The sequence below is a fragment of the Homo sapiens genome, chromosome 2, assembly GCF_000001405.40.
Source record: "Homo sapiens chromosome 2, GRCh38.p14 Primary Assembly".
NCBI classification, from domain to species: domain Eukaryota; kingdom Metazoa; phylum Chordata; class Mammalia; order Primates; family Hominidae; genus Homo; species Homo sapiens.
The window spans coordinates 159,213,059-159,224,813 of NC_000002.12; the positions used below are offsets into that span (position 1 = coordinate 159,213,059).

General features: G+C 47.5%; 1 protein-coding gene across 40 annotated transcripts in view; it reads left to right on the forward strand.

Annotated features, from left to right (window-relative positions):
* TANC1 (tetratricopeptide repeat, ankyrin repeat and coiled-coil containing 1) overlaps positions 1-11,755 on the forward strand; it is a 264,020-nt gene that overhangs the window by 244,419 nt on the left and 7,846 nt on the right. For 39 of the 40 annotated variants that reach the window (NM_001350065.2, XM_047446107.1, XM_047446108.1 and 36 more), the window contains 4 exons: positions 4,439-4,572; positions 6,180-6,303; positions 6,634-6,809; positions 11,174-11,306. In NM_001350065.2, coding sequence (NP_001336994.1) covers positions 4,439-4,572; positions 6,180-6,303; positions 6,634-6,809; positions 11,174-11,306 — 567 coding nt within the window. Of the gene's footprint in view, positions 1-4,438; positions 4,573-6,179; positions 6,810-11,173; positions 11,307-11,755 lie in introns of those variants that run through there. The other variant, XM_047446136.1, reaches the window with a different exon arrangement.

Consider the following 11,755-nt stretch of genomic DNA (forward strand, 5'->3'; position numbering starts at 1 on the left):
GTGATGTAGTCATCCTTCTCTTCTTGGTAATAGAAAGGAAGACACCCATGAATTTTGTCTTACAAGAGGATAACTTATCTGTTTTTGGGATATCTCCTGTGTCTGCAGTCTCTCAAAATAATCAACTCAAAATCTTTATGCGAAAAGGCATATTTTGGGGTGGCATATTCTGGTCTCTCACAATATAAAAGTACCCCAAGCCTTATGTTAGTAGGAATCATTAACGTTATCATCGTGGCAGGAAGAGACTACAGCGAGAATTCCTGGGACAGCAGGGACCAGAACTGGTTTGTGTAGATTCTCAGAGTATAGATAGGATCACATTGGACCCTGGTTTCCAAACATTTTAGGTATGGGAACCCCCCCACCTCTGTCTCAGTGCCTCGGTATGTAAAACTGACATAAATACCATTCTGCTAATGGTATTTATGTCAGTTTTACATACCGACACGCTGAGATGAACTTTAAATGTCTGCTCAGTAAGGGCAATGGGCCTGTTTGCATAACACAAATATGAATGGTACCTGCAGTCCAGATCAGCTGTAGCATCCCTGCCCTTCAGTATTTTGTTCTGGTTGCACTGTCTTGAAAGAATCCACTTCGTCATCCAGATCAGTGATGCAGATGGCAATATTTGTTAAGAACGGCTCTTCCTGTAGTTCTAAGAAATTATCTGACTAGAAAGATGACAGGAAAAGCACTATTATGAGACTGCCCAGTGATAAGTTATTCTGGGCACCCATGGTAATGCGCTGGGCCCCAAGGTATTAGAATTTAGTAACAGCGGCCGGGCACAGTGGCTCGCACCTGTAATCCCAGCACTTTGGGAGGCTAAGGTGGGCAGATCACCTGAGGTCAGGAGTTCGAGACCAGCCTGGCCAACATGGTGAAACCCCATCTCTACTAAAAATATAAAAATCAGCCGGGCTTGGGGGCTCGTGCCTGTAATCCCAGCTACTTGGGAGGCTGAGGCAGGAGAATCCCTGAACCTGGGAGGTGGAGGTTACAGTGAGCCAAGATTGCACCACTGCACTCCAGCCTGGGCAACAGAGCAAGATCCTGTCTCAAAAAAAAAAAAAAAAAGGGGGAATTTAGTAACAGCAAATGTTGTGGTGGTTGGGTGGGGGGTGGGTATTGTGTTTGTTACAAATTTTTAAATAAGCTGCATTTAAAAAATGAAATTTGGACTAAGCATTTGCGGAAACTTTGGCCTCTTCATAACTCTGGTCAGGCTCAACTCTTTAGCTTTCTGCAGGGGAAAACTGAAGCTCACAGACCTTGAGGATTTGCCAAGGTCATACATAGCAACTGGGACTAGATCATATCTTCAGGTGTCTTGTCTTGTGTTACATCCTGGACCTTGGGACTCCAGAGCTGAGCAGTCTCTCACCTGCTGAGAACCATGGTGCACAGGCCCCCTGTGCCCTCCACTAGGGTGACTCACTGAACACACATGTTGGTACCAGCACTGACTTCTCATGAGGACCTTGGCTCGGCTTACCAGCTACCTCCTTGGAGAGCTGCAAGGGACTATGTCCCAGTGCATGTGAAGGACTGTTCTACCACAGAGAACTGAAGTTGTTACGCCTCTTGGAAAAATATTGTAGCATCAGGTGTCAGAGCATCTTGACAGCTGGCAGATGCCTGCTCCCTCTGGTGCTCAGATAAGGCCTGGGGAGCTGGGAATCAGCTCCTGACTTGTTACCTCCTCTGGTCCACCACCGCTTTAGTGCTGTCTGCTGCAAACATAGATTAAGAGGCTTGAGGACATCCAACAGGACAGAGCCCTTTAAATGCATTTTTCTGGAGAAATGTGGTGGCCTCCTTTCTGAAAAGAAACAGGCCATCATCTGGGTGGTGAGGAATAGGGCGTGGAACATTCGGAATCAGCCAGGCCTACAGACTGGCCCTGAGCTCCCTGGGCTGCCATGTAAACTCTTATGAGGGGCTGGTCTGTGATGAGGCCACTGAAGAAGTTCCCCTCACTGCTGAGGTCCACACTGACTGAGGACCAGAAGCGAAGTGAGAGCTGCCTTACCGTTCTGGAAGGATGGAGAAGGGGATGCTTTCCCCATGGTCATCCTGGACCTAACCCTTACATTCTTAGGTCCACAAGACCAGGACTGCCTGCTGCCCACGCTTACTCCCTCACTTTCCGGTGACGAGGCCCCAGATAGAACGCAGAGCTCAGGTGATCCACGGGAGAGATGTGGCTACCTCTCTGTGACATGTGAAGAGGTGAGGTTGCCAGCCACACTGCACCATGGCCCTAAGGACAGTCGGTAGAGACTGTTCAGTAGGAGAGCTAGTTTCTTGCAGGGAGATAACAGGTTTGCCGCCTTTTGTTTATGTGGCTCCTGGAGGTTAAACCATGGCCATGCTGACTGGTGTGACCAGAGGAGGTCACAAATCAGCAACAGACTCCCAGCTTCCCTGGGCATTATTGTAGGCACCAGAGGAAGCAGGCATCTGTTAGCTGCTCTGAGGGGTGTCAAAGAAGACAGGCAGACCAAGGGGTGTGTGCAGACACCAGCATCACTGAGCCCTTGGCTCCCGGGGCTTAGCTCTGAGACCCGAGCTCAGAAGGTGCGCAGGAGACAAACCAGGTCCCGCCCTTGCTAATCGGAAGCCCACAGATGACCCTCTCCCGAGATGGCTGTCGTGGCACTCTGCTTTTGAACTATGTATGAACAAAATCCTCTGTGTGTTTTCTTTTGGGTTTGGTTTCTTTCAATCCTTGTTAAGTTTGTGAGACTGACTTGGTCAGTCGTGTTTAGCCACATGGTGTTTATTCTTGTAGACATGTAGTGTTCTGCTGATTGACTATGCCACTTTCTTGAAGCTTGCTAATGATGATGATGATGGTTGTTTGGATTGTTTGCAGCCCGGGGTGCGGTGAGCATTTTTGCTTGTGTTTCTGGTACACCTTGAGAGTGCCTGCAGGGTGCATCTCTGCAAGTGGGTTGCTGGGTGGGGAGATACACCTGTCTTCAACTTACTCGTAGCGTCAGCCTGTTTTCCAGAGCAGCCACCATGCACCTTTCTGCTAGCAGGGTGCAAGCTTTCCTGTTGTTCCGCATCCATCTCTCGTTAATGAGCCTGGTTACTAATGGGGCTTGGTGCTCTTCATAGGCTCCCTGGCATGGGGACCACACCTTTTGAAGGCCTGTTCTTGTGTTGCCCCATTTTCAGCCTGAGAGGTCTGTCTGCCTGACTGACTTGTAAGAAGACTTCCCTATTCTGGAAACTGGAAATATATAGGTTCGAGGCTGTATTTAGAAACAGAGCCATCCCAGGCACGTGCTGGGAATAGAGCCAGGGTGCTGTGCTCCATCTCCTTCCTCCCTCCAGAGGAACAGCCATCCCTCGCCACTCAGCCTTTTCCTGGCCTCTGGTCCCACCAAAGAGCTGATCATCCTGGCCTGGGGTTGTTTCTGCCACCTCCTCCGTCCTCCTCTCTAGACAATGATTCTTGCGATGAGCAGAAGCAACTCTTCGAACTACACCCCCTGCTTATTACCCCCAAATTAAGAATCGGGGAGTGGGGATGCCCAGGCTGACGGGAGGGTGTCGTGAGTACCCCGCCTCGTTGTCCTTTCTCCTTGCATGCCATTTTTCTTTCATCCTTAGCTGACTTCCCGCAGCACCACCACGACAGTGGGCAGCTCACTGCCTCTGGGCCAGCGTGTTCACTTGGGCCCTCTACAGTTGGATCTTCTTTTCTTTCTTGACTTTCTTAACCCTGAATCTTGACTTGTTAAAGAGATTCTTTAACAAGGGGGGAGTGACGTGCACTCTAGACTGCCTCAGTGATTATTCTTGTTGAATGAAATTTTATGATTTTAGGGTAAGAGGCCAAACTAGACAATAATACCAACCTGTGTTTGCATTGCACTGTATTCTGGTTATCTCTTCCTGAGAAAAACAAAAACAAAACTTAGCCACCTCTGAATCTATAGTTTAGGCCGGGCATGGTGGGGATGGCTCACCTCTGCTCACATGGCTTTAGCTGGGGCAGCTTGACCCAGGCTGGTGGATCCCCTTCCAGATGGGACATGCATGTGGCTGGCTGGCTGGTGCTGGCTGTCTGCTGGGAGCCCATCTGGAACTGGCAGCCATGCCCAGGCCTCAGTTCTTCTCTCTGTGGGTCTCACCACAGGACTGCTTGGGCTTCCTCTCAGCATGGCATCCGAGCTCCAAGAAAGAGTGTTCAAGGAAGTGCAAGCAGCCCATCTCTTAGGACCTGGGCCTTGACATGCACACAGAATTGGTTCTGCTGTGTTCTGTTGGTCAAAGCTGTCACAGAGCCCCCGCAGGTTCAAAGGGGGAGGACATATAGACCCCATCTCCCACTGGGGGAGAGAACTGTTAAAGAATTTCTGGCTATCTGTGCTCCACCACATGCTAACAGATTCCCCTCCATGTGACTTTCCTTTAGCCCTGACTGCCGCCGCAGGAAGAGGGAAGCTGGAGGTCTGTGAGCTGCTGCTGGGGCATGGAGCTGCTGTGTCGCGGACAAACAGGAGAGGGGTTCCACCTTTGTTTTGTGCAGCACGCCAGGGGCATTGGCAGGTACCCAGGGGGCCCCTGAATGCTTCAGAAGCAATGAGTGGGGATGGAGTTCACTATTGCCTGGCTCCCCTGAGAACACAATGCAGCTCCCCTGAGCCTGTCTGTTCCCCATCCTCGGCTTCTGCTGTGCCATCAGGACTGCTTGATAGAGCCACGTTTGACAAGATAACACAGTTGGCCACGTAGGCTGGGGAGCAAGGCTGCTCAAGGCTGAGCTATCCAGGTCAGAGACACAGCCACTGCCTTCAGCTGTGGAGGGAAGTGGAGTGGGTGGATTCATCGTGTTAACAGGAGACTTGCTTTAACATATGTGCTGTTGTAGTTTGGTGACGCATTTGTCCAACATACTTGGAAGAAGAGCAGTTCTTTTGTGCTCTTTGGAAAAGAAAATGTTTCCCTCTGGTCCAGCACTGATTCAGGCTGGGTTTTTTGTTTGTTTTTGGTTTTTGTTTTGTTTTGTTTTTTTACTATGAAATGATGTATTGTTGTGGTTCATTCAAGGGAGCAGGGAATCCTTGCTCCTTCATTTCGTAAACAGTGACCACATACCTACCCTACACCTAGCACCAAGTTACACATACACTATGGATGCAAAGGATGTTATGACCATTACAAAGAAGAATTTTCTAGACCAAAGTTTTGGTCATGGAATCGCGTCTCTGCTGATGCCTGCTGGCTCCCTTGGTAGGAGCTGTGAGTGCTTCCTGGCAGGATTCTTCTCCCCTTTCCATTCCTAAGAGCTTGGTTTGTACCATCTCTTCCCTGTCACCCTCACTGCTTCACCTTGATCATCTGGCTAATCCTTTCCTGGCCCTGCTGTGTCCTAAGTCACGGGGAATTTTGGAAAGCATTTGTTAGTGGATAAACGAGCAAGAAGGCAGTGGGATTGTGTTGCCTCCTGTTGCTGCGGCCATGTAACAGGTGATGTGTTGGGGAAAAATGGGCTAAGCTACGGGTGAAGCAGTTCCTGCTGGGATGGTGGTGATGGGATACCCCTGTCTGGTTTTCTAGGGTTTTTTCTCCCCAAACTTATGACTATGCATGGTTGAAAGGCATATTTCTAGGGCTGAGAATCTCCTCAAGGTGCTTTGCTAAAAGTTGCCTTCCCCGAAGGGCATGCCATCCGCCAATGCTGCATCTTAGGAAAGCCCATGGCTTGGGTGTGTGGTGGGCGAGCTTCTTTCTGCGACCCCCTCATGCCCTGCACTCAGCTGTAGGTACTTAGTTTCAGTGCCCGTGGGGGACCCCATGACCGCTGCTCGCCCCTCTTAGTTATGCTTCATTCTCCCACGCCCCTGTGGCTGTCTTGTCCTTGTAGATAGTGATTGGCATCCCTCCTCCCCCAAATTACCATTTCTCTCTGGTATGTGTATATTTAGTTGATAACAGCAATGAATTGGGCATGTTAAAAAGAGTGCATATTTTGGAAAAGGTTCTGTTCAAAGGAATACAGTGGAAAGATTTTCCAGGCCCCATGGTTCACACAACTTACAGATTTTTGAAAGAAAGTCATTTGACTATTTTTAAAGGTTGAGAAACCTGCCTGGGTATAGCAGGTGTGGTGGAAAATGCAGCAGGAGGATGGTAATTCCAAATGTCTCTTCCAGATTGTTAGACTGCTGTTGGAACGCGGCTGTGATGTGAACCTAAGTGACAAGCAAGGCCGGACGCCCCTCATGGTGGCTGCTTGTGAAGGGCACTTGAGCACCGTGGAATTCCTCCTTTCAAAAGGTAGCAGCGTGATGCCCTCAAAGGTTTCTTTTGGACGGACACAGAGAGAACTTCAGCAGACCCATTCAGTGCTTTCTGATTCAAATTCTAAGTTTTCTGTTAATGGAAATTTTCTAATAAACAGTAGAGAGAATAGGCAACACAGCCACATGCCTGGTATTCCTCTTCAGCAGCGATGACCATTCTGCCAGCCCATCCGGCCAGTGTCACCCTTCACAGTGCTTGACTGACACTTGGTTCAGGCCGGGTGTTCCGCAGGTGTGAAACAATTTGCTTTCTGGCTTTGTCATCTCATAATGTTCATGTTCTGTGAATGGGCTTTCCTTTCAGGTGCAGCCCTTTCTTCTCTAGACAAAGAGGGTCTGTCAGCATTAAGCTGGGCTTGTCTGAAAGGTCACAGGGCAGTGGTCCAGTATCTGGTTGAAGAAGGAGCTGCAATAGACCAGACAGACAAGAATGGCCGCACACCCTTGGACCTGGCTGCCTTCTATGGCGATGCCGAGACTGTGAGTACCAGCAGGTGTTCCCCACCTCCACCTGCATTGGAAAGAAACCCCAGGAAGTGAACAGCTCAATCCAGGGCCTGCATGAGGTTGTGTCTCAGTGTCATCAGAGAGTGTGTGTGTGTGTGTGTGTGTGTGTGTGTGTGTGTGTGTGTGTCTTGTCAGGGATCTTTCATTTTTCTCTAATTCTGTGACATGCAGTCTATTCCAGGACTTAAGATTTTAGTCGACTCTTAAAAGCTTAAAAATACCTGCTTGCAAATAGCACATACAACAGACACATACGTGAATATGCATACACATGTGCATATGTGATTTTCTCAGTCATCCATATAAATAAAACTTTTGCATAGATCATTTAGAAACTACTTTTATATATGGTAAGTGACTAATCAAATGACTACCTGGTTGCTTTTTTTTTTTAAGTTGTTTTGTTTTTAATTTATTAATTTTTTTTTCCCAAGATGGAGTCTTGCTCTGTTGCCCAGGCTGGAGTGCAGTGGTGCGATCTCGGCTCACTGCAACTTCCGCCTCCTGGGTTCAAGCAGTTCTCCTGCCTCAGCCTCCTGAGTAGCTGGGATTACAGGCATGCACCACCATGCCTAATTTTTGTATTTTTAGTAGAGACAGGGTTTCACCATGTTGGCCAGGCTGGTCTTGAACTCCTGACCTCATGATCCGCCTGCCTCAGCCTCCCAAAGTGCTGGGATTACAGGCGTAAGCCCCTGCACCTGGCTTATTATTAATTTTTGAGACACAGTCTTGCTCTGTTGCCCAGGCTGGAGTGCAGTGGTGTGATGACTGCAGCCTTGTTCTCCTGGTCTCAAGAGGTCCTCCCACCTCAGCCCCCTGAGTAGCTGGGAATACAGGCATGCACCACCGTACCTGGCTAATTTTTAGAGACACGGTTTTTCACCATGTTGCCCAGGCTGGTCTCGAACTCCTGGGCTCAAGTGATCACCCCACCTTGGCTTCTGAAAATGGTAGGATTACAGGCATGAGCCACCATGCCCGGACAAAGTTTTATTTTTAATTGACAAATGATTGTGTATATTTATGGGGTACAGTGATGTTTTGATACTTGTACACATTGTGGAATGATCAAATCAGGCTAATTCATGTATCCATCACCCAAATAGTATTTCTTTTTGGTGAGAGCATTTGAGATCTCTTTTAGCTATTTTGAAATAAAGAATACATTACTGGCCGGGTGCGGTGGCTCATGCCTGTAATCCCGGCACTTTGGGAGGCCAAGATGGGCAGATCACTTGAGGTCAGGAGTTCGAGATTAAGCGAACTTGAGGTCAGGAGTTCGAGATCAAGTGAACTAGTAGATACTATTTTAGTATCTACTAAAAATACAAAAATTAGCTGGGCGTGGTGGCGGGTGCCTGTAATCCCAGCTACTCAGAAGGGTGAGGCACGAGAATCACTTGAACCCGGGAGGTGGAGGCTGCAGTGAGCCAAGATCATACCATTGCACTCCAGCCTGGGCAACAGAGTGAGACTCAGTCTCAAAAAAATAATAAATAAAAGTTATTAATTCTAGTTGCAGTACTGTGCAGTAGATACCAGAAGTTACTCCTCCTGTCTAACTGAATCTTCGTACCCTTTGACCGGTGCCTACCCTTTCCGCAGGTCCCCCTGTCTCCCAGCCTCTTTCTGTTCTCTGCTTCTGTTGTGAGTTCAACTTGTTTAGATTCCACATATAAGTGAGATCATGCTGTCTTTCCGTGCCTGGCTTATTTCACTTAGCCATAATGTCCTTCAGCTTCATCCATGTTGTGGCTAATGACAGGATTTCCTTATTTTAAAGCCTGCATAGTATTTCATCATGTACATATACTGGTTGTTTTTAAAGTGATATGGCATTGCCTAAAAATAATATGGAAAGCTTTGGGCACTATCTTTATCTCTTTGCCAAATGCCCATGTCTAATCGAGGTTTGAGGGAATAAAACCTTGATAAACTGAGAACCGTGAAATGTCTTTCAGGGCAGAAACTGATTTTATCAGGCTCCATGTCCCAGGCACCCAGCAGGTGCCAGAGAAATGGTCAGCTACATGAGAGTTACCAGTTTCCAATAATTCAATACATCTAATGGAAGGACTAGCTGGAGAGACAGATGCTTGCAAACCTGGCAGTGGAAGCCATGGCCCTGTACCTCTGTGCCTTGGTGCTTTTAGAAGGCAGCGCTGTCAGAGTTCAATGGTATAAACTTCAGTACCTTGTAAACTCTACTTCATGTCAGTTTTCAAAAACATACTCAACTAAATCTCACATGTCTACACTTATTTTTCAGCTACCTTCCCACATTGTGTAGTTTATCAAAATTAGAGAAGAGTGAAGGAGCTTAGCATTCCAACATAATTTTTTTAATACCGTGGCAAAAACACATAGCATAAAATTTACCCTTAATCATTTCTAAACATATAGAGTTCAGTAGTTTAAGTATATTCACATTGTTGTACAACCAGTATCCAGAACTTTTCATCTTGCAAAGGTGAAACTGTATTTGTTAAACAACTCTCCATCTCCCCCAGCCCATCACAGCCACCACTCTACTTTGTGAGTTTTTTTACCCCTTTAGATATCTCATGTAAGTAGAATCATATAGTATTTGTCTCATTGTGACTGGCTTATTTCACATAGCATAATGTTCTCCAGGTTCACCCATGTTGTAGCGTGTGTTAGAATAGCATTTCCTTCCTTTGTAAGGATGAATATTGCTCCATTGTACGTATACACCACATCTCGTTTATCCAGTCATCTGTCAGTGGACACTTAGGTTGCTTCTATGTTTTTTGCTGTTGTGAATAATGTTGCAATGAATGTGGGTGTCCAAGTATTTATTCAAGACCCTGTTTTCAGTTCTTTGGGGTATATATCCAGAAGCAGAATTTCTGGCTCATATAGTGATTGTATTTTTAATTTTTTGAGGAACTGCCCTACTTTTTTTCCACAGTTGCTGCACCATTTTACATTCATAGCACAGTGCATAAGGGCTCCAGAATTGTTCCACATCGTCACCAATACTTGTTTTTTGTTTTTGTTTTTTTGAGTTGGAGTCCCACTCTGTCACCCAGGCTGAAGTGCAGTGGTAGAATTTCAACTCACTGCAACCTCCGCCTCCTTGGTTCAAGCGATTCTCCTGCCTCAGCCTCCTGAGTAGCTGGGATTACAGGTGCCCACCACCACACCCAGCTTATTTTTGTATTTTTAGTAGAGATGGGGTTTCACTATGTTGGCCAGGCTGGTCTTGAACTCCTGACCTCAGGTGATTGCCTGCCTCGGCCTCCCAAAGTGCTGGGATTACAGGCGTGAGCCATCACGCCCAGCCAGTACTTGTGGAAGGACTAGCTGGACAGACAGGTGCTTGCAGACCTGGCAGTGGAAGCCATGGCCCTGCATGTCTGAGGTGCTTTTTTTAATAGTAGCTTTTTTTTTTTAATTGTAGCCATCGTAATGGGTATAAGGTGAACATCTTCTCATATGCTTGTTGAGCACTTGTTGATCATTTTTGTAGAAATCTATTCCAGTCCTTTGCCCATTCTAAAGATGAGGTTATTTGGTTTTTGTAGTTGGGTTGTAGTTCTTTGTGTAGATAATCCCTCTAGTTAGTGTCATTTTGAATAATGGGGTGGATGATAGGAAGCATATATTTTTAGATTCACATGAAAATCTAAAATAGCCACAGGCTAAAAAATGGCTACAGGCTAAAATGGCTCCAGTAAATGGAGAAATTTTAGTGGCCACAGTATTTCTTCCTCTTGTTTCCAGTTTGGTTCAACTGACAGCTATTATATCACATCAAATCAGTCTTTGTACCGTGGTATCAAACTTGCCATCTTTACTCTCCCAATTTCCTTCACATCTCTTTGAAGTGGATTATACTCGGGTCCATCCGGTCCCAAGCTGCCAATCTTAACAGTCTGCCGTGCACAGGTTGTGTGGGTCTGAGTATTTCTAAAGTCACCACTGCTGTGGCCTGCTCATTTGTTAGAGCTCATTGAAGAAGTCTGCTGCCTACTTCATTGGAGATGCAAAGGTGACTATGTCCCGTCTCTGTGGCCTGGGAAGTGGTGTGAGACAGAGACAGATCACGCATGTGTGCACACACCCACCTGTGGTAGCGTGTCCCCTGCTTTCCTCATCCCTGACAGCAAAATCTCTTCAGCAGTGAAGGTTTTAGCTGTGGATTGCAGCTCCTCTTCTCTGTTTCGTGTCCACTTTATTTCTAGTCTAGGATCCTTAATAGGCAGAGGCATCTAAAATCAGAGTGAAGCTAAGACTGCCCACCCCTAAATCCGTGTGCGCCCCTGAACTCCTGTTCCCAGCTGCTGCTTAGGCTTCTGCTGTCTCTGCAGGTGCTGTACCTGGTGGAGAAGGGAGCCGTGATCGAGCATGTGGACCACAGCGGGATGCGGCCCTTGGACAGAGCCATCGGCTGCCGGAACACATCTGTAGTGGTGGCGCTACTCAGAAAGGGAGCCAAGTTAGGTCAGTGAGCACTGCCTCCATTGAGCAGGAGGAGCGGTGAGCTCCCGATTGTAGAAGCCTAGACAGCACAGAGAGTGACCTGCTCCCAGGTTAGGAAGTAAGATGTCAGATGTTTGCAGATCTCTGTCTCAGTCTCACTTAATCACCATTATACACAATGTGTAAGTAGCTCACGGTGTTTCTGCGGGGAGGGTGTGGAAAGCAGAGGCTGGTGTTGAAGGACAGTCTGGAGTGGTATCAGTGGCCAGGAACCACGCCAGAGAGGAACCACAGCCTCTTGCTGTGGGGTGGGGCCGGGTAGTGCTGCTGAAAGCTCCCCCAGGTGACTCTGAGCAGCAGCGGAGGCTGAGCCACTGTTCTAGAGCCACCAGTCAGCTGTGTGGGGAAATGGCCACCACAGCAAGTTTCTGTGAAGAAGTAGTAGTATGATTTCATGGAGACAAACTAGG